The following is a 25,472-nucleotide window of genomic DNA, read 5'->3' on the forward strand; positions in this document are numbered from 1 at the left end:
AATGCAATGCTATCTGATTACATTCAAACGATTGTTTTTGCAAGCCAAGGGCTAAAGTTGTTTTCAAACACTATGTATGCTAATAAAGTTCAAGCTTACCTGTAATAATCTAATAATAATGATTCTCTATAACTACCTATTGAGAAGACATCTGTATCTATATTTACCAATGCTACCAGTTCCTACTGTGATGTCAAACACATGGGAAGAGAGGGAAGAAGGAGAGCCCATTCACCCCCAGCTACAAAACAGTTACTGAGGCCATTCAGGATGTGCAATGGAAAGAAGGATCTGGGAAAACACAGTCTTTACCAAAAGTTCATCCAATGTATAGGAGAAGCCATCTGTGTATAGTATTGGAGAGAAAATGTACACGTATTTAAGTTGTTATATTCTAGATTTATTAAAAAAACAATTTATATAAATATATATGGAGAATAATTAACTGGTTTGGCTCTGGGTTGGAAGGTAAGAGACAATTACTAATACTATTTTTATTCCTTTTGTATTGTCTGATTGCTTTAAAAATTATTTTTATTTTTATTTTTATTTTTTTGAGACAGGGTCTCATTCTGTTGCCCAGGCTGGAATGCAGTGGCATAATCAGGGCTCAATGCAGCCTCTACCTCCCAGGCTCAAGCGATCCTCTGACCTCAGACTTCCAAGTAGCTGGAACTACAGGTGCATGTCACTGAACCCAACTAATTTTTTATTTTTTGTAGAGACAGGGTCTCCCTATGTTGCCTGGGCTGGTCTTGAGCTCTTGGACTCAAGCAATCCTTTTGTCTTGGCCTCCCAAAGTGCTGGGATTACAGGCATGGGACATCATGCCCAGCTGTTTGATTACTTTTTAAAACAAATGCATATAAGACCGTCATTTTTTTTTTTAATTTTGTAAATTGTTGGTGAACACAATAATAGAAAAGGTCAGAGTAATTAGTGACAATTGCATGCTTAAAGTGATTGGCTTTACCTGTTTTCTATGTGGCCAGAGTACCCTCCTGATGGCTCTTGGTGAATAAAGGAGCCAAAGCTAAAAGTTAGAGGCTCCAGTCTTTGGAAGGCGTCTTCAGTAAAAATATCCTTTGGGGATGCTTAGTTATTCTAAGAATAGTTATAGATCTAATAAATATTGCCTTTGAACGGTTAAGTTTGGATATGCAAGAAGGCCAGCTGTGAGAAGAACAGGCAGCCGTGCAAGCTGGCAAAGGGAGAAAAAACTGTTTAGGGATAGGAGAAAACAGATGGATGCCTTAGGCCAGCTGTGTCTGCACTCAGGAGCCCAGGTTGGCAGCAGACAGCCCTTGAAGGTTCTGCATCTTCATCTATGGCCAATTTTGGTCTGCAGATGAATATGAATGGCTGCTTGTGATTGATTTCTTTGCCTGTTGCTATAGTTTGAAGGTGTTCTCCAAATTCATGTGTTGGAAACTTAATCCCAATGTAACAGTGTTGAGAAGTGGGAACTTGAGGAGGCGATTAGATCCTGAGGGCTCTCAATGGATTAACATTTTTATGGGAGTGGGTTCCTTATTGCAAGAGTGAGTTTGTTATAAAACTGAGCCTGGCCTCCACTCACCCTCTGGCTCTCTCTTGCCCTTCCACCTTCTGCCCTCAACCATGATGCAGCAAGAAGGCCCTCACCATATGCCAGCCCCCTGACCTTGTACTTCCCAGCCTCCAGATACGTAAGAAATAAATCTCTGTTCTTTATAAATTACCCAGACTGTGGTATTCTGTTATAGCAGCATAAAATGGACTAAGACACCTGTCAAATAGATGATAACTTGCTCAAATGAAAAGGAGACAGAAGGACTAAATGATGCCAATACTAATGTACTCTAGCCACAGAAAGCAAATAAAATTAAAAGCCAGCAAGAGAGCTGCTTCCTAGTGCCTGCTTCTTCTTTAGCCCTATTCCACAGAGAAATTAGAAACGGATCAGATAATATTCTTATCTCAAACATGTTAAAGGAATTTCAAGCAAGAGAGTGTGAAGTTGAATGCAAGGGGGATTCTTGAAGAGCCAGGGAGAAGGGTGTGAACAGTGAGAGGAACACACCAGGAATACTTCCATACCCCTACCTTGGCAGGTCCTCATTTTTATAGTTCACTTATAAGAAATAGAAGTATTTTGTTTTCCATAAGACAGGCTGTGGTACTGGAAAAGGTTTGGTGTCAAATTTAAACTCTTTTTTTTTTTTTTTTTTTGTTTGAGGCAGAGTTTCGCTCTGTCACCCAGGCTGGAGTGCAGTGGCGCGATCTCGACTCACTGCAAGCTCCGCCTCCCGGGTTCACGCCATTCTCCTGCCTCAGCCTCCCGTGTAGCTGGGACTACAGGCGCGCGCCACCATGCCCGGCTAATTTTTGTATTTTTAGTAGAGACGGGGTTTCACCGTGTTAGCCAGGATGGTCTCGATCTCCTGACCTCGTGATCCGCCCGTCTCGGCCTCCCAAAGTGCTGGGATTACAAAATTTAAACTCTTTTATTAGCCAACTGGTCTTGGGCAACACACTTAACATCATACCCTCAGTTTATTCATCTATAAAGTGGGCTGATGTTTTAGAAGGATTAGATGAGGCAGTGTGTGATGCATGCAGGAGCCAGACCTATTTCCTCCTTCCCCCTTGACTTCTGCTCACTCAGGCATATGTGCCCGAGCAAAGGGCAGAGGAACCCATTTAACAAAGAGAAAATAAGAACAATATGTGTAAAGCACCTAATGTCATGCACAGAGGGCTATCCTATTATTCAGCTAATACCCCATTAGCTCTGGGAAAGGTGAACCTCTTTTCCTAGCTTTATTTTCCTAGAAACTCTCCATGACTTCCCCTACCCTTCCTATACACTTGCACCCCTGTACTAGTTTGCTAGAGCTGCTGTAAAACATTACCACAAGCTGGGTGGCTTAAGCAACAGAAATGTATTGTTTCACAGTTCAAGATCAAGGTGTCTGCAGGGTTGGTTCTTTCCAAGGGTTGTGAAAAAAAACTCGTTCTGGGCCTCTCTCTTAGCTTCTGGTGGTTTGCTGGCAGTCTTTGATGCTCTATTGGCTTGTAGGAGCAGGACCCTGATCTCTGCCTTCATCTTCACGTGGATGTTCTCCCTGGGAGTGTGTGTCTTTGTGTCCAAATTTCCCATTTTTGTAATGATCAGTCACATTGGATTGGAGCCCATCCTAATGACTTCATCTAAACTAACTTTATCAGCAATGAACTTATTTCCAAATAAGGTCACATTCTTCAGTAGTTGGGGTTAGGACTGCAAAATGTGAATCTTGGAGGGAGGTATAATTTTACTCAAAACAGCCCCTAATAAGGAGAGTGAATCATTTGACTGGTGGGTGATGAAGCTCTGGCATTGGCTGAGATTTTTGCACTTGTTGGAGCTAAGCTATAATACAGGACCAGGGACTGTGGGAGTCAGTGATGTTGGGTGGGTTTGTCAGCTTTTCAAATCCCAGGTTTTCCATAGGGGCAGTCGCCAGGTCTACACCAGCTAGGGGTTTCTACCATAGGGGCTTGTCCCCAGGTCTGCACCAGCTAGGGGTTCCTACCATAGGGGCAGTCCCCAGGTCTACACCAGCTAGGGGTTTCTACCATAGGGGCTTGTCCCCAGGTCTGCACCAGCTAGGGGTTTCTACCATAGGGGCAGTCCCCAGGTCTGCACCAGCTAGGGGTTTCTACCATAGGGGCAGTCCCCAGGTCTGCACCAGCTAGGGGTTTCTATGAGCAGATCCTTAGTCTGCCACTTGGCGGGTTAGAAAGTCATGCTGTCAGCCCAGTGTTGTCACCAGTAAACAGACTATTTAAGTTCCATTTGTCTGTTTTCATTGTCTTATTTTTCAATTAGTCCTAAACTTGGGAGAAGAAAAGGGTGCATTTATTGGGCCCCTCAGTCCTAAAATACGGATTTTAAGGAGGCATCAAGGAGGCATCAGGGAGGCAACGGAGGGTCGGGGAGCTCGGGAAGGTTTGGGAAGTGGCTTGAGCTCCCACTGCCTCCGGTCCACCTGCAGGCTACCCGACCAGAGCCTGGTCTCCCCACTTGGACTCACCTGTGCTTCCTCTGAGGATCTGTCACATGCTCTCCTTGTCTCCTGGGGCACAAAGGGCTGAGTGAGTCAGGGTAAGGGTTACTGTGACCACCAGCAGAGGAGATGTCAAGGCCTTGGGGGTCTACCTTTTGGTCCACAGAAATGGAAGCAGAGAATGAGGTCTTAGGGGACAACAGGTATCCTTTGAGTTGGTGGGAAGAAGCTGTATTTCTCTCAAGGGACCGCCGTCTCACCCCTTTTCTGGAGGAAGGGCCTCCACCCAAGCTGAGATGATCTAGGAGACAAATGTTGTTTTACGGAGTGAGGTTCCTAGCTCCTGTTGGTGGACACATTTTCCTAAGGAAATAGATGTGTGTAGGATGCTATGCCCAAGATGCATAAGACGACCCAGTGCTCAGCCCCTGAGTCTCCCCTTATCGTTCCCAACAGCTCCCAAGACAGACTTTCATTACAATTGCACGATGGCTGCCTCAGCAGAGACAGTGGTCTTGAGCCAGCAGCCATCCGTTTCTGATTGGTCAGACCCTATGCCAAGCAATTTATGTGCATGACTGCAGGGCCAGGAATGGGTGAGGGATGTGAGGCTGTCACCTCGGTGCAACATTTAAGGGGGTGCTGAAATAACTTACTAATTATGATAAACAACGTACACATTTTTATAATAAAATATATATTATATAAAATTACCATCTTAACCATTTTTAAACGTTCAGTAGGACTAAGTACATTCACATTGTTGTGCCGAAGAATATTTTAATGCAATATTTTTTCATCTAAATCAAAGCAAAAAAATACAGGATGAAAATATTACCAAAAATTTAAACTAAAGGTGGGATCTGGCCCTGCACAGCTCAGCCTCCCTTGCCTCCCCCTGTCCCAGCCCTACATGACTGGCCAATCCCTCTTTACAGAGGGAGAAACTGAGGCTCAGAGAGGCTACCTCAGTGGCCCAAGATTACACAACCTGTAGTTTCTATTCAGATGCAGATGAGGATGCCTGCTCCTCTGAGCTTGGATTTTACACCTGTCCATATCACACTCATCTCAAAGACAGTGGCAACTAACTGAGGTTCCTAGAGCAACACCTAGGACAGAGTCTAGGATCTGCAAATGGGGCCAGTGCTATCATGGGTCCTCTCATCCTTCTGCCAGCTCCACCCTCTTCTCCTCCTTGTCCCTGCCCCACCTCTCTAATCCTCTCTCCACCCTGTGGGAATGGCTGCATTTGTATAGCAAGAGGAGCCCCGTGTCTCTTCCAATCACACTTCCATGGTTCCACGCAGTCTACGAAAATCAAGACACCTCCTCCAAATGACGCTCCTTCACAGACAGTCTTAACAATCAGCTCCCAATAGGCCTTTCCCCTCTCTGTCCCTCCCTACCAACCGCGCCCTGGCTGGCCACACTGAGCCACCTGTCTGTCCCCAGACATGCATCATCTTCCTCCTACAGGTGGATCTTCTGGCCTGGAGCATCTCTCTGCGCCTTCACCGGCAAACTCTCCTTCTTCCCCCGGACAGACTCTGGGGTGGGTTCCTAGAGTTCTTCAGGTGGAGTCCATGGTTCCATCCCCAGGAGCTCTCTGGCAGTTTGCCATGGACTGTTTTAATGACATTAAGTATCCCCATGATGCACCACAGTTCAGATTTCCTCCTCTTCTGTTAAAACACAACTGTCACTTCCTCATCTTTGTTCCTATGGTGCCTAGCAAAGTCCTGGGCACATACTAGAAATTCAAGATATGTTTGTGTGCAATAAGAGATGTGATCCATTTTATCTAAGCTGTTGATTTAACACTGGGCCAACAAGGAGAGGATGAGATGGCTACGGCTGCTCCAATTATCTAGGGGAGGGGGCAGACTGGCTGCAGAGTTCAGTGCTGACAGGCTGACCACAAGGCAGCAGCATCATGGGAAAAGCATTCCGTCCAGATTCAGAAAGCCCAGCTTCGAATTTTGGTTTGTGGCTTTCTACCAAGGGCTCCAGGGTAAACTGCTAAACCTCTCTAAGCTTCAGTTTTTTCTTATTTAAAATTGGAAAAAAAGACATAATATATCATTTATGATGCTATCCTGAGAATTACGTGATGATTAGAGGTATTAAAGAGTTATCTTGTCCACAAAGCACTAGAGTGATATTATTTATTGATTTCTTAACGGTGCTGATAAGCACAGTCTAATGGCTTCCTTCAGATGAGGTGGTTGAGGAATTCAGAATCATAAAAACCAAGGGCAACATGAGCACATCGTGAGGACAAAATGTACTAAGCAAGTCAGTGAGGCCACCCAAAGGAAAATATATTCTGTTTGATAAAACAAATTGATGCGGTGGTTTCATTTAGCAGAATTATCAGCAACACACACACTGGAAAACAAGCAGTTACATGGCTCTACCCAAGAAATTAATCTCAACATGTGGAAACTGGGAAGGATAAATGTGAAGTTAGTTATCTCTCCAACTGGGAAGATTTTATGAACAACCAGGAGAGTGAAAAGTTTCCTTGCTTGGTGCTGATTAGTACAGGACAGTTATTAGGCAGCTGGCACAGCAGAAAAAGAAGGGCCATTCATCAATTCAGTCATTCACTCAGTCATTCAGGTAGGAGCTATTTATTCAGGATCTACAAGGTGCCAGATGTTGTTTTGGGGAAAGACAAAACTGATACTGATCAAAGACATGATCGTCATGTACGTGAGAATGTCACTTGTGAAGTGATGGGCCTTAAATACCCAAGCACACAGGCAAGAATATCCCTCCAAATTGTGAGAAGTTCTGGATCAAAAGCCCAGAATGCTTTGACAAGGCCATAGAGAAGGCCGAATATATACGGAATGAACGTGTCAAGGAGTGTCTCTTACAACAAGAGACATTTAAGTTGGGATACAAAGGTGGAAAGTCCTCCAGGTGTTGGTAGTCACATGTAAAGGTCCTGAGGTAGAAAAGACCTCAACGTATAGAACAACGGAAAAGAGGCTAGTATTGCAAACATGGTGAATGAAGAGCAGAGGGGCCCCACATGAGGCTGGAGACTTGCAGGCCCAGGCCAGCTATGTCCACACAGCTGAGACGGGCTGATACCAGTTCTGAGATGCTTAAAATAAAATGGTGAAATCTGTGTAGAGCCTTTCTCCTAAGGACTCAAGAAGAGTGATACAAAGACAGATGGCCATAATAATTCAGCAGTTGAAAAAAAAAAAAAAAACTTTTTCAGAATGAGGCGACAACATGAAACGAAGGTAATGTGAGAAAAAGAGAATAGGCCCAGATAATGTAATGGAGGTGAACATACAGAAAAAAAAGGAAGAGCTGTGAAAAGCAGTTGGCGGTTTTCAAAAAGTGATACAGAGTTACCATACAATCCATCAATTCTGCTTCTAGGTATATACCCAAAATAATTGAAATGGGTATGTAAACAAATACAATAGCCGAAGAGTGAACACAGCTCACATGTCCATCAATGGATAAGTGGATACACAAAATGTGCTATATCCATGCAGGGGAATATTATTCAGCCACATAAAGGACTGAAGTTCTAAAACATGCTACAACAATGATGAACCTTGAACACATCATGCTAAGTGAAGGAAGCCAGTCATAAAAGTCATCTATTGTAGGATCCTATTTATATGAAATATGCAGAAGAGATAGATTCATAGAGAAAGAGCACAGACTGGTAATTGCCAGGGCCTGGGCAAGGCAGAATGGGAGTAACTGCTTAATGAATATGGGGTTTTCTTTTAGGGTGATGAAAATATTTTGGAACTAGGTAGATGTCATTTTCAACACACTTTGAACGTACCAAATGCTGCCGAGTTGTTCACTTTTAAATGGCTAATTTGATGTTATGTAAATTTATTCTGAATTAGTTTGAATGAAAGGGATAGAAAGGATAGGGGAGGAAATGCCTGGGAGGTGGAGGGTCATAATCTGGTCATAACAGAAGGTGTTGCCGGGTGGAAGGGCTCGTTTCTGCTGCTAGTTCGATCTGCCTGCAGGCAGGTGCATCTGGGCTTGGTGGTCTATGGCACTCCTTGGCCTTTGTCTTCACCTGAATTAAAGTCTTCATAGCTCAGTAAGTTTTAAAGACAGTGGAGGGAGCTTCCAGGTCCAGTGAGGTGAGAAGTGAGGGGAGCCCTTTCTCCAGCAGCGTCCCTGCCTCATGGTGCTTTGGTGCTGTCTTTCTGGGCTGCTGTCCCCTTCTGTCCCCGTGGGAGTGGGAAGCTGCTCAGACAGGCAGCTCTACCTTCCCAAGGCCTCTGTGTTAGCTCTGGGGATCCCGGCTGGGTGCTTGGGAGGAAACAGGAGGCTATTCTGCCTCAATGATTTCCCCTCAAACAGGAATGCTCCCTGGGAAATCCTAAGAAGCCCTGGCATTGGTTTCTTTGTGAGCCTGTTACCGCAGGAGCTGGCAGAGGATGCTCTGCTTCATCTGACTCTTAATCTATTTCAGCTGCTTAGGAGTGACAGGGGTCAAGGACAAATGACATTTAATCATGTGTGGTAGCCAGTGCTGCCTGCAGAGGAGAAATCAGTAAAGTTCCTTTGTGTTCTAGGAAGAAACTCAGCGCTGCTTCCGTGCACATTAAGGAGAAACGCTGCCCTTCAAGCCCCATCAGGTTCTGAGCAATGCGACAGGCCACACACCACGCCTCCTGGCAGGCCTCAAAAGGACACGATGCTTTTGCTTACCTGAAACCATTATTTTTTGCAGTAAGCTTCATTTCCTCCAACCACCTGACTCTAACTTGTGCAAAATAGCTCCGTGAGCAGTCAGCACCCATCACGGTGACGCTTTCCTTTGGCAGAACCCTCATGTGTTTATATAAATTAGTCCACAATTGGCAATTACATTGTTGTTCCAAAATAAGGGCAGGCAACATGTAACCCCGGGAAGAACAATGGTCTGGACACGGAAGTCCAGACAGGACTATTATGGAAAATTATGGGGGATGATTCATCAGCTGGCCTCTCCCTGGGCACGGCCATCCTCACATACAATCTTTGTGCTAACGCAGCTACTTTCTGGTAATAAGTTACCATAAGAGAAGTGTAATTAGCTGTTGGGATTCATTAGCTCCAGTCAGTGCATCACTGGTACAACATCTTCCTTGCCAGTTTACTGCTTGTTAATGGGGAGCGATGATGTATTTGTACCTCTACGGAAAGACAGTGAAGGACGCAGGACTAATCTGAAGTCCTGGCGGTCTGTCCTTTTATGTAGCAGACTGAAAAACTGAAAATGAGTGTATGACACAGAGGAAGAGCCCAGGGTCCTAAAAAGCCAGTGTGGAAGGCTATCAGCCCATTCACACATATTATTACTAAATATTGCTTCTTCGGTTAAACCTGTTGGAGGCAAGAACATGCTGACCAAGCATGAAACCTGGACAGGGCTGTCTTCCCTTTAGCTTTTCCCTGCTTTAGAAAATTTTGTAGTGGGTACTTCTAGAAGCTTCTGTCAGTTTAGAACAAGAACTTACAAGACTTAAGGAGTAATGACTTTTACTTTCAATTGCTTCTCAATTCTGTTTCCAGAATAAGCAATTGGCTTTCTGTGACACAATGAAGATCCCATCCCAGAGAGGCAGACAGGGGCCCCACGGGGCTGTGCAGGAAGGCAAGTGCTAATTCTCTCTGCTCACCCCAAAGGCACCTCTGCTTCCTATGAGACCCCCACACTACTGTTGAGTCAGTGTTCAGAGACCCCACCTCTCACTCTTCCATAGCACAGCTGCACAGGGCAATGGAAAAGAACCCAGGGAACCAGACCTCCCGCTGAGCCTCCACCGCCCCCGCCTACTCCTGCAGTGATTGTCAAACATCCCTGAGTAAATCCGGTGGACTTCTCTACTGGCCCGCACAGTGACGGGACAAAGTCGTTATCCTAGGAAAGGGGGCCAGAGAGCATAGAATGGCACATGGAGACTTTTCTACTCACTTACTTGAAATAGTCTTGGTCAATTAGAGGGAAACTAAATTTGATTTCAAATATTCTTGGTTAATTAAGGACCAACCAGACTCAAGAAAAAGAGGATGTGGGGCCAGCAGAATGTGGAGAAGCGCAGTGCAGCACAGATAGCATCCAGCTCTGCATGCTGACATCAGGTGGTGGCAGGTGGTGAGGCCTCTGAACTGCTGCCTTCTTTTTTTTTTTTTTTTTTTTTTTTTTTGACGGGGAGTTTTGCTCTTGTCGCCCAGGCTGGAGTGCAGTAGCATGATCTCGGCTCACTGCAACCTCTGCCTCTGGGTTCAAGCAATTCTCCTGCCTCAGACTCCTGAGTAGCTGGGATTACAGGTGCCCGCCAGCTCACCCGGCTAATTTTTTATTTTTAGTAGAGATGGGGTTTCACCATGTTGGTCAGGCTGGTCTGGAACTCCTGACCTCAGGTGATCCACCCGCCTTGGCCTCTCAAAGTGCTGAGATGACAGGCGTGAGCCACCGCGTCCAGCCTGAACTGCTGCCTTCTGAGTGCCTTTCATGCCTCTCATTGCTGATGTTTTCCTTCCTCCAACAGGATCACATCTACAAGCTGGAGATCTTCACTTAAGGTTCATCAACAGGGGCATGGCCCCACGTGGACTCTGCTTGTTCTGTGAGCTGTACTAACTCACGGGTTGTTTGGCCCAACTTTGGTAAATGTCAGTTTTATTTATTTTCAAATAATGCCACTTTGAAATGGGAAAGAATAAACAGCATGAAAATCGATGTGTTACAGTGCTGGAGAGGCTGGGTACGTAAGCAGTACATGAAAGCGTTTGGTGTGCTCTTTCTTCTTCAATTTATGGTTAATAGATTTGTTTGCTTCTCCTCCAGGGAAGTTACTTCTTATGCAATGTAATGTAATTTGGGAGGCAGCAGGAAGAAAAATTACATTTTTAATGTCAAGAAGTTATGAAGGATTTAAAGAATGAACCAGCTTTTTATTTATCAGGGAGCTAATACCCTGTACTAATGTTTTATAGAAATATCTATTAAACATCATTTTAAACCAATTGATAATTCACTAAACTTTTTCATTGAATTTCTTTTAAAGTGAGTAATTTGTTCATATTAATGGAAAAATCCAAATATTCATGTCTTCATAGGAATAATGACTATTCATTCACGCTGAAAAGATAAATTAAATATTTGCTTGTCCTTTTAAAAGAAGCCCATATTTGCAACCAAATTACAGGATACATAATTTAAAACAAATCTCAGTTGGAGTGTGCAAATTTTCATAATTAAGTAGATCAAAGTTTGCAGAAATAAGTGATGAAAACTTTAAAAGGGAATAGCATGATGGGGGATTTTATATTAATCATTTATATTCAAGGAGAAATCATTATACTCTCACTTTTTCTAGCTTAGGAAAACAAAATAGTGTTTGGGAAGAAATTATCCCCAATACTATTTCAGGGAACAAAAATGCCAGGAAGAACTTTGGACAATGATACTCCTTTTGGGGAAGAAAGGCCATCTGAAAGAAATGAAAAATGAAGCTTTTTCGAACTTTTCCTAATGGAAAAGACAGGGCACATACAAAATTCCTAACAGATACAAAGCTCAAGGGCTACAAGATAGAAACTTTAAGCCAGCTTCAAGTAAAAAGCTTTTATACGTAAAGAAAGAATGTGTTAGTAAGAGAGAGGTGGATCAGCCACGGAGATACTGAAAAAAGGAATATTGTCTTCTGAGGCATTAATTAGGGAAAACATATCCCAGCTTGTCCAGTCTGGGGCATATAATGATGACCTAAATGCATCAGGCTGTCTTATCTTAATGATATTATGCAGTAATTTCAACTGCAAACTCCAAGGATTCTTCTATTTGCCACTAAGTGCAAAGTATTACCTTTTCTATGTATGGATACGTTTAGATAGACACATACTTACCATTTGTGTTACAACTGTCTGCAGTATTCAGGACAGTGTTGTGCTATACAGGCCTGTAACCTAGGAGCAATAGACATATCATACAGCCTAGGCTGTGTCATAAGCTATAACGTCTAGGTTTGTGTAAGTGCGCCCTATGGTGTTTACGGCGTTTCCATAAGAATGAAATGGACTCAAGATGCATTTCTCAGAACACGTTCCTGTTGTTATGCCATGCATGACTGTATAAAGCACACCTCCTTCTGACTGGGTGGGAGGAAGTGATCTGGAAATGTTGGGGTTGCACCACAGGAGACCCGAGCCCTCGTCACTGGTGGAGCTGCTGAGATGGGCAGCCAACTGTCTTTTCTGAGGAGCTCCTAAGATCACCTTACTCCTCCTCACTCCACTGAACTCTGTCCCCTCCCATCGAAGAGGACTGTCACTGCTGAGAACTGACTCAATAAAATCACTTCACATCTTTACTAGACACACTGATCAGGACTAAGCTGCCCGGCCAGGAGCTTCCTCTGCTCTAGGACCAGGTGTGGGAAAATGGGGTGGAGTGGGGTGAGTGGTGTGTCTCATCTGTTCCCATGTCCACACAGAGTCCTTCTCATTTTCAAGAACCTGGATTAAGAGTGCTGAATTCAGGCTGGGTGCATTGGCTCATTCCTGTAATCCCAGCACTTTGGGAGGTTGAGGCGGGAGGATCACTTGAGGTCAGGAGTTCAGGACTAGCCTGGCCAACACGGTGAAACCCCATCTCTACTAAAAATACAAAAATTAGCTGGGTGTGGTGGTATGTATGTAGTCCCAGGCACTCGGGAGGCTGAGGCAGGAGAATCGCTTGAACCCAGGAGGCAGAGGTTGCAGTGAGCCGAGATCATGCCACTGCACTCTAGCCTGGGCAACAGAGCAAGACTCCATCTCAAAAGAATAAAAAAAAAGGGTGCTGAATTCAGCTGACACATGCCCCTCATCTCTGGCCAAGACTGGGATGAGCTAGTTTGGGGCTCATGATACAACACTTTAAAAACACTTTCTCAAAAAGATTCTTTTTAACAGATGAATAATATTGGCAGACAACTGAACTTAACATAAAAATAATAATAATTCCTCTTCTTACCTGTGGCTAATGCAAGAGTAAGCCACAGAAAATAAACGTCCTTGGAGCTTTGTAGCCAGAGTGTGATTATCATTAACATTACTTTGTGAAGGGGCGTTTCTCAAGGTCACTCTAGAATTAGAGGCACCGTGGGACCAAGCACTCATCCATTTTATGGGTTAAAATGACTAATTGAGGGTCTGAGTTTAATTACAATCGTAAGCAAAGGCACAGTGCAGATACTTTGACGGGCTTAATAACATTCTTATGTACACAAAGATAGATGGAAAAAATTAGGGTTGTATATTGTTGTCCTTTAGGACAAGATACTGAAGTGGGAATAGAATAATAAAAATAAATAAACGACTCAGCGGCACCGGGAAATGAGCTGTGGAAGTTAGCCAGCCAGCCTTATGCACATACTTCAGCTGGAGATAAAGTCCTAAGTATCCATGACTAAATATAATGCGACTATACAGGAGTGCAGATCACAGTTGTTTTATTGAGCTAGCTGCTAGATTAAAAGGTAAAAAAGTATGCTCTGCAAGCTTCTACCCATAGTTCACCCTGAAATGATGATAACAGCCACAGCGGGATCTTTAGGATATGCATCGGTGATATTTTAAATGGGAAATGCAGTCATGTTTCACAGAAAATCCACAAAGCATCAGGTCTGTACACAGCTGCTAGAGTCGACATCCTTAAATGACACTGATATGGTGTCACATCCCCTGCGTAAGAACCTCAAATGACTTCTGGCTGTCCATAGTGTCAGAAAAATCCATGCAATGTTCAGAAGCTAGTTCAATGTCGGGAGGAAAAGGAAAGGTTGGCTCATAAATAAGAGCAGAACACACAGAAATCAGATCCGTGTGTGGGGAGACCCTCATTTCATGGCCATCCAGTCAAGAGGTTGGATATGAACCTTCTTTGGCCGAGACAGCCACATCTTGACTTGTAGAACTCAATCCTGCTACAGGTAGTGTTTGGTTTTGTAGCTAAGCTACAGAGGGGAATGGCCTTGTGCACAAAGAAAAACAGAAAAACATCTTTGATCTGGGTTGTTTGTTGAGTGTGTGGGCACTGTTTGGGGACAGGCAGCATCTCTGAGTTGTCTATCTCCTCCTCTTCTCAGTGCTGCATCCTCAGGCGGCTCCTTGGCTTCCTAGCTTAGCAGCCCCTCTCTTATTTTCTTACTGGAGTGACCATAATAGATTCCCAGGGCTGTCAGAACCGAGTACCACAAACTGGGTGGCTTAAAACAACCGAAACTTATTATCTCACGTTCTGGACGCCAGAAATCTAAAATCAAGGTGCCAGCAGGGCCGTGCTCTCTCTGAAGGCTCTTGGGAAAATTCCTTCCCTGCCTCTTCCTAGCTGCTGGTGTTGCAGCAATTCTTAGTTATCCCTGAATTGTGGCTGCAACACTCCAATCTCTGCCTTTGTCTTCACAAGGCCTTCTTCCCTGTGTGTCTCTCTGTGCATATGTCCTCTTTTTATAAGATGCCATTCATTGGATTTAGGGCCCACTCTTACCTAGTATGACCTGATCTTCATGAACTAATTGTATCTGCAAAGACCTTATTTCCAAATAAGATCACATTCTGAAGTTCTGGGTAGACAAGAATTTTGGGGGAAGATTTATTCAACACACCGCAGTGACTTCAGCCAACATGAGCTTGTCCAGAGAGAGCGGAGCCAGCTCAATGTTCCCTGGTTAGCGTTCAGACCATGGTCCCTCAACACATGTTTTTGGTTGAAGGTGATGATTATAGCGGCCACAGGTTAAGAGATGGATTTGATCACACGATGTGCAAGGAAACAACAATGAGTGCAAAACTGAATTGATTTCAAGGTCTGAACCTCACTCTATATGAAATTCATTTCCCTGGAGGACTCCTTCATCATAAAACAAAACAGAGAAGACTAACAAAATAACCTCATTTATTCTTACATCCTAAGCCTCTCCAACATTTTGCCACATTTGTTTGGGGCCATATTTTAAAATGTTTTTTGTTAAAAATGGATGCTTGAATCTGGCAGAATTGGAGCAAAAGGAACAACTAGCAAAGGGGAAGAAATGAAGAAGGGAGCATTAGTGTGCCTGGGATTAGGGGTGGTGGGGAAGAGGTAGCGGAGGCAGAGCGTAGAAATGAAGCCCTTCCCTTCTGATCACCCACAGCTCTAACCCCCGCAACCCCACCTCCCCATGCCGCTTGGCCTCTCACAATCTAGCTGCCATCATCCTTATCAACTCAGGCCTCCAACAAAATTTAAGGCTTTTTTTTCCCCACTTCTATCCTTTTTCCTCAGTGACAGACAGATACTCCAGGAACACAAAGATAGATCTGCTTTTTAAAAATTCAATTTCTTGTCCCCAAATGAATTTCAAACGAAAAAGGACTAAGGGCATTAACTTTTCATTTTACATTTCATATGTGCTTAAATTTTTGCTATGTCAACATGATATAGCTTCCCATGAAGATTCTCCATTCCTTTCTAGAGAAGGCAAAGCAAGTGTCTCCTCTCTTTAGAATGCTCCCTGTAAATGTGCCTCCTTCAGTAGTCTACGACCTGGAGGTGGTAGGGAATGGGGTGGCGTTAGGGCATGAAGTGGGGACAGCCACTGATATTGGTACAATATCCACTGCCTAGAGGAAAGCTTGAGAAACTGGACAGAGCCTATTAAGCCTGCATGAAATTGTCTAAAGACAGAATAGTGTCACATTGTCAGGTTCTGGCTAAGCCTTAGGCAGATTTTACTGACTTAAATTTATCTCTAATAAGCTTTTGGACATTTAAGAGCAATATAATTTGCATTCATAGATTATTTTTTTCCAAAAAATGAAAAGGTGACCTCTTTAAAAACACTAATTCCTTAAATTCTTAACCTTGGCTCCCCACCCTGAAATCACATAAACAAGTCTGAATCCTGCTAGGAAGAAAAATCAAGAGTAATGATTTTCAATAATGACCAGATGAATTTACTTTTACCTACCACATGCTCCTTCTGCTGGATTTCCAAGCTATACTAGTTTAGGAAATAGTATTCTAGGAAAAGAGTTTTATTTTCTTGGATGTTTTATTTTCTTTATATATTCCTGAAACAATAGCTACAGAAGCAAACCAAAAATATCAACTCATCTTAAAGTCATTGGCAAAAGAAGAAAGGAGTACTGGAAAAACAATGTCAACATTATTATCTAAAATATGCCTTAAAATATAGTCTTATTTTAAAACACAAAAAGGCACCCACAGTTCTAGTTGTCTACATGAACATCAAAGGTGGAGGTCAAGAGACTACTTGCACTTGGCTGAGTGGCTAATGCTGTCCCAGGTAGCTACACACTCCGTAGGTCCTAGCAGGGAAGAATTTGAAGTAAGAAAGAAGGGAGAGGGAGAAGACCACTGGCATTTAAAAGCCAAATGATGTTGGCCACATGGATGCCACTCCGTTTATCTCTGGAAGCAAATTTAAGGAACCAACAGAGAGGAAAGTGTTGCCCCGTCAGCAGGTGGTGGTTGTGTATTGTTTTAAGCACAGATCTGTTAGCAGTCTCCTATCCCATAACTTTGAATTTCCTCTCTGTGTGATAGGGTGGGGATGGTCTGAAACCAGAGTCAGGATGTGGCTCAAGTCCTGGCTTCACGACTTAACTACACATGAGCTCATTGGGCTACGATGCATGTGAGAATCAACAACATATCTGAAGTGGAACTTTCAGGCCCCTGGAAGACAGAGATTTTATGAATAATAACACTTACTTTAATTTTATTTAAAAATCTAATCTCTATTGATGGTGCATCTCAAACTCCTCTAGAGTCCTTTCAACGCTGGGTAGCGAGTGCTGGCCTCTGCTGCCCTCCATGATGCTTTCCCATTGCATCATTTCTATGTTTAGCCCAATCTCACCTGACTCTTCAAGCCTTTTTTGGCCACACCTAGCTGTCAGTCACTTTCTCACCAGTTTTTCCTCCTGTACTGCCATGATCATAACACTAAATTGCCACTAGGCTGTTGTGCTGGGGCTCACCGGCTGAGTGCCATTTCTTCCACTCAGTCATGAGTTTCTGCAGGGCAGAGTCTGCCCTCTCTCAGCCTCCTTAGCCCTCCCCAACACAAAGCAGGTGGTCAGCAAATGCTCCTGGGATAAAACTGCTGCATAGCAGAAGCAGCACAGGAAGTCATTTCTTTAATGTGAATAGTGATCTTGGCTTTGTTGGAAAAATGAAGAATGTAAATACACTTGCATACTAAAATCTAAAGCCTTCTGTCATGATATGGACGACTGTGACTGTTCTGGTGTCACAGATGTCTGCATGACAAACTGAATCAAATGGCATCATTTTTTGCTTCCTATTATGTGGTCACTCCTGGCCAGCAGCAGAAGCAGCAGCAAGTGTCGAGCTGCTGTATGTGTGAATAGACAGGGATGGGGAGTCATTCTGGTCTCACCAAACTGTGCTCCAGCAACACAACCCAGACCCTAAACTTAGCCAGATGATGTGTAAAGGGGACCCGTGAGCCTACACTGGTCTAGCTTCTTCATCTACTTTTTCATCAAAGGATGTCAAATGTACTTTAATAAAGGTGGTAGCCTATATCCTTTCAAACACCACGAAGACATACTTATGCTACTATATTAATCAGAGAGCATTTTAACAGACAGAGCTAGCCAGGTCCTTATTGATTACACTTCTACAATTGCTTCTGAGACAGTTCCTTCTGCAGTCTTCACTAGGGACCCTGACACTGTGAAAGTAGGGAATGCTAGCAAGGGAAAAACACTTTTAAATAGTTGTGAATAAGTGAAATAGAAAAAAATCAGGCATGGGAGTTCAGAAGAGCCTACAATTTTAGCTTTGGAGGAGTTATATTTCTTCTGGTGGGACAGATGTTTGCCCAAGGATAACAGAATTTAAGGGGTTATGAAATGGATGCCTCAGTAGGGGGTTTCAGAGTACTGTATATTTGCCATATGGTAGCACCTATCCAGAGAAATCACGTCAGATGTTCATGATTTCGTGACTCAGACGAAAAGCAGAATTGTCAGAGGATTCCCATTCCTGCCCATGAACGCATGTAGATATTCGTGGAGGCAGGCTCTTATCTTGCTCTGTGCACACACATTTCACACAAACACATACCGCCTCTCAAGACTGGAGGCTGAGAGCATTGGGATGAATACTCATGAGATGACGATTATTAATGCCACTGAGGTGGATTTTGTTCCTTCTCAGTAGAGACTGGTTGTTATACCTAGAAACTGATCAACTGTAGGAGAAATGGCAGCTTTGAACCATTTCAACTAAAACAATCCTGTATGTTTCACTTTCAAAATATAGATTATTTGGCTAGGTGTTTTCAATCACCCCTTTTGCCCCTATCCCAGCAATTTCATCCAGCAGAGATTTGCAACTTTGGTACAAAATACAACACTTTTGGGAGCACAGTTTCTAGAGTTTAGAAGAATCATATCTTGGTAACTACTTTCCTTCCTAAGAGCAAAAATTAAACAAGACATAAAGTTGATTCTAAGAAATCTCAATAGATTCCTGATGATTTTTGTGAAAAACGCATCAGGAGAGAATCACAAGACATTTGCTACTTTCATTATTTAAAAAACCATTTAATACAACAGGCCTTATTAAAGAGCTATTTCTAAGAATTATAGAATCTTACAGTCAAACAGAGAATTTTTAAAATGAGAATTTTTAAAAAATGGCTACTTGTGACAGTTAACCAGATCCCTATGTATCTGTTATGAACTCTGCCCAACCAGTCAGCCTGCCTGGTTGTGCTATATGCATGATATAATGTGAAATTACCAAGAACTATTGTTTTCGGCCAAAGAAAATGACTTATTTTGGGTTGGAATAAAAATGTTTGTTTTTCACCTTAGACCTAAGAAATCATGTGAAGTAAGTCTAACATTAATTAGGTAGAGAAAGATACCTATATGTCTTTATTACCTGGTTAGAAAATTTAAAATTAACTTCTTATACTCCGTTGCCACATCAACATTCATGTTTTCAGAATGGTCTGATCCTCAGTAAAAGAGCCACTAAAGTTATGGAAAGAGACAGTGTCTGGCCAGGGGAAGATGGTGGGAGGAGGCACTCGTGACACAGGACTGACCTTAGGCACCCGGTGGCGTTACGCAGCACCTGTGATGAATGCAGCTGTATTTTCCGATCATCCTGAAGAGGCGAATTTTCCCAGCCTGAGTGGGGGATAATCACCGCGTTGGTCAGTACTGCTAGGGCATCCTGGATGATTGGCATTTTGAGTGCATCGCATGAGGAGAGGTTCCAAAGGACTCCTGCAAGAGACACACAAAAAGAGGTTTTGGGTGGCCACAAGTTTTTCTCATCTCCAAAACTGTCTTCCTTATTTGAGTTAACGGAACTGGCAGGAAGGATGAAAATACTGTGGACACACATCCTAGAGTGTGTCCTTAATTTTAGAACATTCGTGTGAACCCATTAAAAGCATTCTGTGAAAAATCTGATGAGTGAGCAGAGGAACTGTGACATGATTATCTTTATTTCCTCAGGGAGCATAATCAAGGTTGCGAGGTCTGATTGAACTGAGGCTACCAACAACGCTTCTGTTCCATTTTAATACAATGGACCCAAATTGCTAAATTCTAACCAAGACCAAAGAGATGTGAAAGTTATTTGAAATGGACTAGTAGAGCATCTTTGTCTTACCCAAGACCTCAGTGTGCACATGTGGTTGCCATGAAAGCTAAGTGCTTTCATAAACAACCAGCTACCATGGGTAGGACCCTTATGAGAATCCAGCATCAGGTCAGATGACAACTGGCTCAACAAGCAATTTAAACTGTTGCCCCTTGTGACTGTTTTGTCAGCTTTTCTCTGAAAGCAATGCTCATGGAGGACCTACAGAATGTTCCTCCTTAAATAATGACAAAGGGAGAGGTGAGAAGAAGAGGGCATGTCCACAATGGACAGAGCGTCACAGTAATTCATGCAGGCAGAGCAATGCAAAATGTTAACGACAAATAGAATGCTTTAGGCTTTTAAATATTTTTTAAAAGGAGATGTTCTAGAAAAGGTCATAAACATTGCATATATATTATAACATCATTTGAAAATGCTTTTAAATAATTATTCTTTTTTTGTTAGGACAGTCTACATAAAGAAAAAAAGGAACAGAGAATAACATTCTATTTTTCTTTGAAAGAAAGCCTGTATACACCCTGAACCTAAACACGTACCATCACTGCAGATATTGGAAATAAAACACTATAGTTGTCTTTGGAAATAGAACTTGTAGCTTATGTTTTTAATGAGCTTTCGATATATTTTAACGAAATGCGATTTTGTTCCATCTACTGTGTTATGAATAGAACAAACAGAACATGTTTATTTCCAAAATTTGTTTTATTGGTTCCTTGCGTTGCACATGTTGAACTATCCAAGGACATTAATAATACAAATCTGACTGTTAATAACTAAATAAGTGACTATAAAAATAAAGCAACTATAAAGTTCAATAAAAATGTGACTACAGAGGCAAACTCAACTGTCTTTAGAAATACCATTTACTGGAAATTTTATTGAAGTGAATGCAAAGGAAACAAAATGTTTTTAGTGCCCAGCATGCATAAAATAATCCTTCAGTACAGGGGGTTAACCTGAAGGCAAATCTAGCTTCTCTTCTTTTATGAATAAAGTTTTATTGAAGCACAGCCATGTCGGTTCATTTCTAAATTTTTTACATCTGCTTTTGTCCTATGAAGGAATAGCTGGGTATTAGTGACAGAGACTGTACAGCCCACAAACCATAAACAATTTACAAACTGTCCCCTTACAGAAAAATTTTGTCCAACTGTGCTTTAGTGAATTTGACCATTTTATATACACTTTCATTTGTGCTTGTATTGCCATTAGTATCCTAAATTGAGTACACAAAAAGTGCTCAATGGTACACAGAAGGTGCTCAGAATATATTCTGATTTGGACTGATTTGAAATACTAGGAATATTAACATATGCATCTATCTTGTTTTAAATAAAACACAAAGCTGCTTATTCATCCATTGAGAAATGTTTTGCCAAAGTTTGGTAATCTAAATAATCAAAATGACTTCATTCATTTCCAGCCTCACAAAAATGTTAATTTTTAGAGTAAAATAATTGATTTTGCAGTTTTAAATAGTATATTAAAAAGAAATTAGTATCTACCCCAGTATTTGAGGATAACTTTCAGGAATACCATGTTAAGACATTTGTGTCTGCTCTTCAAAGTATACAATGCGAAAATATAGGAACAAAATGTGCATTTTTTTCATTCCCAAATCCAGACTCAAAATACCAATATCTAAAAATTGAGGCTTATAAATGTTTTAAAATATGGGTGACATATTTTGCTGTATGGTATATATCCTTTAAAAACTAAATAGCAGGCAGGGTGCAATGGCTCACACCTGTAATATCAGCACTTTGGGAGGCTGAGGCAGGTGGATCACGAGGTCAGGAGCTCGAGACCAGCCTGGGCAACATGGCAAAACCCCATCTCTACTAAAAATACAAAAAGTAGCTGGGTGTGGTGGCGTGTGCTTATAATCCCAGCTACTTGGGAGTCTGGGGCAGGAGAATTGCTTGAACCTGGGAGTGGGGGGGGGTTGCAGTGAGCTGAGATCGTGCCACTGTACTCCAGCCTGGGTGACAGAGCAAGGTTCCATCTCGGGAAAGCAAGCAAGCAAACAAACAAACAAAATAGCAGAGAGAAACCTTTGCATTTTTTTACATGCAGTGAGTATGAAAATCTCAAGGCTTTCTATGAGAATACAGCTATTTTTACTGTTTTCTTACAAACAGAAAAGAAATAGGGAAAGGGAGGAAGGAAATCAAAGAAAACCTAAAGGCCAAATCTAGTACCTGACAAGAAGTGAAAGAATGGAAAGGCAGATGCAGTCTGGAATATCTTTTTATAGGCTGTTCTATCTCCTTCACTTTTCCTTAATTAGTTAATTAGTGTAACCTAATTCAGAATCACGAACAAACAGAAGTTCACATTCATTCCACCCTTCCAGGCTGTCTCCATCTGCGAGTCACATTCCAGTGAACTGATCACAGTACTTGATCCATATCTCTGAACCATCTATCTCAATTTATAACTGCAATGCACAATGCTTCCTGGACTTATTACAACTGCAATGAATCTCTATCAAGCAACTTTATCACCTCTTGATGAAGTCTTGGTAAAGTGGATGGAACGCGGCAGATTTTCTTGAGGGGGAATTCAGCAAACCAGCTGCATGGGGTCGTCAAAATTTTGAGTTTTGGTTAGATTACCTGGACATGAGACAGGTTTAAGCATAGAAGCAGCAGTTTCTGGAGACAACTGAGATGAAGATTTATATCATCTGGCAGGAGTTCAAGTGGGAAACAACTGGGAATTCCACATCTTTCCTGCTACACACACACACACACACACACACACACATACAGACACACACACACACATGTCTTGACTGACGGAAGAGAGATTAGTGGAGAGAACTGGACGTATCTAGGCATCCTCTGAACAAATGGAAAATAAATTTTTTCCTCAAACTTTTACTTCACTCCTCCCTCCCCTTTTCCATAGTGGTTTAAAATATGTCCACAAATTCTTGGACATTTCCTTCAAATGGTGGAGCCTAATTCTTCTCTCCATGAGTGGGGATTTGATTTAGTGACTCATTTGTGACCAATGAAACATGGTGGAAGTGACTGTGACTTGAGACTATGTCATTAAAAAGGCTTTGTGGCTCCCTCCAAACCCTCTCTCAGATTGTTATTTGAGGGGAAGCCAATTGTCATGCCATCATGAGGATCCTCAGGCAGCCTTATAGAGAGACCAGCATGGCAACGAACTAGGGCTTTCAGCCGAAATTTTGGAAGTGGATTTTCCAACCCCAACCAAGCCTTCGAATGACTGCAGCCTCATGACAGACCCTGAGCCAGGACCACCCAAATCTGTGGCTCCTACTTGTACTCCCTCACACTTAGACAGTGGGTGACATAAATGTTGGTTGTTTTAAGCTGCTAAATTGTGGAGTAATTTGTTATGCAGCAATAGACAATATACCTTTCCTTTCCTATGAAGCTCCCACTCTCTCTGTTGCTTTCTTCTCTCTGCTTCACTTTCCTATCCCTTTGCCTTTCTACAATGGATGGACTCATTTTTCCCTCTCGCCTTCCCAGGACACTTTAATTCTTACTCCTCTCTTACCTAAATCCACTTGTTCCCTTATTCCTTCCAAATTCCAATGTGAGAGTATACAAGATATAGCAAGGATGATCCAGCTACACTTTGTAACTAAATTTAAAATGCATTTTAAGTGACAAGTATTTAATTTAAAAATATGTATCATTCTTCACGTTTGCAATTCAATAAGTGACCCAACACTTTCTTTAATTTGGAATAATCCTGCTCTTATTTCCAACTGCTGCCTTAACAAATCACCACACAGGGGCTTGAAAAACACAAATTTATAGGTTTGTGTTTGGAGGGCTGGAGTCTGAAATGGGCTGGCAAGGCTGGCTCCTTCCAGAGGATCCCGGGGAAGATGTGTTTCCTCATCTTGTCAACCTCCTGGGGGCTGCCTGCATCGCATTCCTTGGCTTGAGATCTTACATCCCTCTGATTTTGGCTTCCATCATCATATCTCCTTCCTGGACTCTGACCCTCCTACCTCCCTCTCATAAGGGCACTCTGATCACATTGAGCCCACCTGGATAATCCAGGATAATCTCCCCATTTGAAGCCCTCCTACCTTAGTCATACCTGCAAAGTCCCTTTCATCATGAAAAGTAACATTTACAGGCTCTGGAAATTAGGGGGTGGGCTTTTTTTGCAGGGTAGGGACATTATTCAGTCTACTACGTATCCCTTCAAAAATAACCTGTTATGCTTAAAATAAAATTAAACTTCCTATGGTAGCCTCATGATCAGGCCTTTCTCTAAATCTCTAAATTCATCTTGATCACATTCATTCATTCATTTATCCATTCCATAATATTAAGGACCTAGTACATGCATGGTTCTGTTTGACGTGGAGTGGAGACATCAGTGAAGAAAACAAAAAATCCCTGTGCTGGTGGGCCAGGTACCATATAGCTCTAGTCACTGTGCTCCAGCCAAAATGGCCTGTTTCTTCTTGAACACACAAGCTCCTTTGTGTCGCAGATCCCTGGACTTGCTGCTGCCTCATTCTGGAACATTGTTTCCTAGATCTTTTCATGGCCAATACTTCTTCCATTCACGTCAACTTAAATGTGCTAAACTCAGAGAGGCTTTCCTGGATCAGTCTAGTCTACCTTCCCAGATGCTTGCTGTCAGATCTCCTATTTAATTTCAGCAGAAACCTCAACACTAACTCATTCTGTCATTTGATCACTGTTCCATCCTCCAACAGGGTCCCAGGCATAAAATGAAAGCAGACACTTGTCTGAATGCCCATCGTATGCAGAACACAGAGCTACAGAATCCCTGGCATACAGAATATGCCCTGACAAACATGAACCAAACAAGCACTAAAGAAAAATAAAAAATAACAGCTGGATGGTATGATCTTATAGGATGCCATGTGCTGTAAGCATCGAAACTTCTGTAAGTATTATAGCGTTAGCAAAATGACGTCATGCCTAGAGAAAATAAAACAGCAGCTGCAAGATGTAATTTCACAAATAATAAATCCAAACAAGAATAGAAAAATGTTATTTAAGTGGGATTATTTACTTTGAATCTACAGAAATTCCATTTTTAGCTAGTAGAGAAAAATTTATAGCACTGAAACATATTAATCTGCTTTGTATTAAAAGGCTTATCTCTGGTGCTTCATTTGGGTAATTTTCTTATATTAACTCCCTGATAATTCTAAATTAGCCCAGGTAATACTAAAATTTCAATCTGAGGAAAAACTATAAAACTGATGGGATTCACACCAATTTTCAGCATTCATAACAAATTACCCTGTTTGTTTATATCTGAGGATAACATGAAAAATGGTTTAATATTTTGGTTGATGGTCACTAGAAAATTTAAATTTCCCTGATGAAAATATGCTAATTCCTTCCAGATTATAATCTGTGACAAATTTGTTTTATTAGCATCTTTCTTTTATTATTTCCATCCAATAGCTTTCCTTTATCAGTGTAAAATTATTGCTGTTCCAAATATAATTTTGAAAGTTTAATTGCGAAGACATTTACGTATACTAAAGATATTTAAAAATATAGTTTATTTTTATTTCAGGCACAGAATGGCTCTTTTCCTTGATATTATCCATATTCATGAGCAATGATTGGTTTAATAAAAATTCCTTAATAAAACCTTAATTACTTTCATTTGCTTCTTTATAATGCTTTAATACAGGGTAATTGTAGTTTCTTTTTACTGAAAGAGATGAAGACTATCTTGGTTAAAAAAACCCC

The 25,472-nt window shown here is 42.0% G+C and overlaps 1 protein-coding gene across 12 annotated transcripts in view, besides 2 other annotated features; it reads right to left on the reverse strand.

Annotated features, from left to right (window-relative positions):
• The window catches only part of CTNND2 (catenin delta 2), a 932,611-nt gene that overhangs the window by 168,581 nt on the left and 738,558 nt on the right, over positions 1–25,472 (reverse strand). For all 12 annotated transcript variants that reach the window (NR_109988.2, XM_017009074.2, XM_017009072.2 and 9 more), the window contains one exon: positions 19,160–19,343. Coding sequence is in view for 11 of the 12 variants with exons in the window: in XM_017009074.2 (XP_016864563.1) it covers positions 19,160–19,343 (184 nt within the window). In the remaining variant the exon portion in view is untranslated. The remainder of the gene's footprint in view (positions 1–19,159; positions 19,344–25,472) is intronic.
• Positions 503–677: a silencer, noted in NCBI's record as "fragment chr5:11141031-11141205 (GRCh37/hg19 assembly coordinates)". NCBI's record gives its function as "represses an EF-1alpha promoter that drives an FKBP-Casp9 reporter gene in an ReSE screen in K562 erythroleukemia cells {active_cell/tissue: K562}" and the evidence as "EXISTENCE:reporter gene assay evidence [ECO:0000049][PMID:32094911]".
• Positions 3,600–3,659: an enhancer, noted in NCBI's record as "active region_22385". NCBI's record gives its function as "activates an Ori minimal core promoter by ATAC-STARR-seq in GM12878 lymphoblastoid cells {active_cell/tissue: GM12878}" and the evidence as "EXISTENCE:reporter gene assay evidence [ECO:0000049][PMID:35858748]".

The sequence above is a fragment of the Homo sapiens genome, chromosome 5 (genome assembly GCF_000001405.40).
Source record: "Homo sapiens chromosome 5, GRCh38.p14 Primary Assembly".
Taxonomy (NCBI): Eukaryota; Metazoa; Chordata; class Mammalia; order Primates; family Hominidae; genus Homo; species Homo sapiens.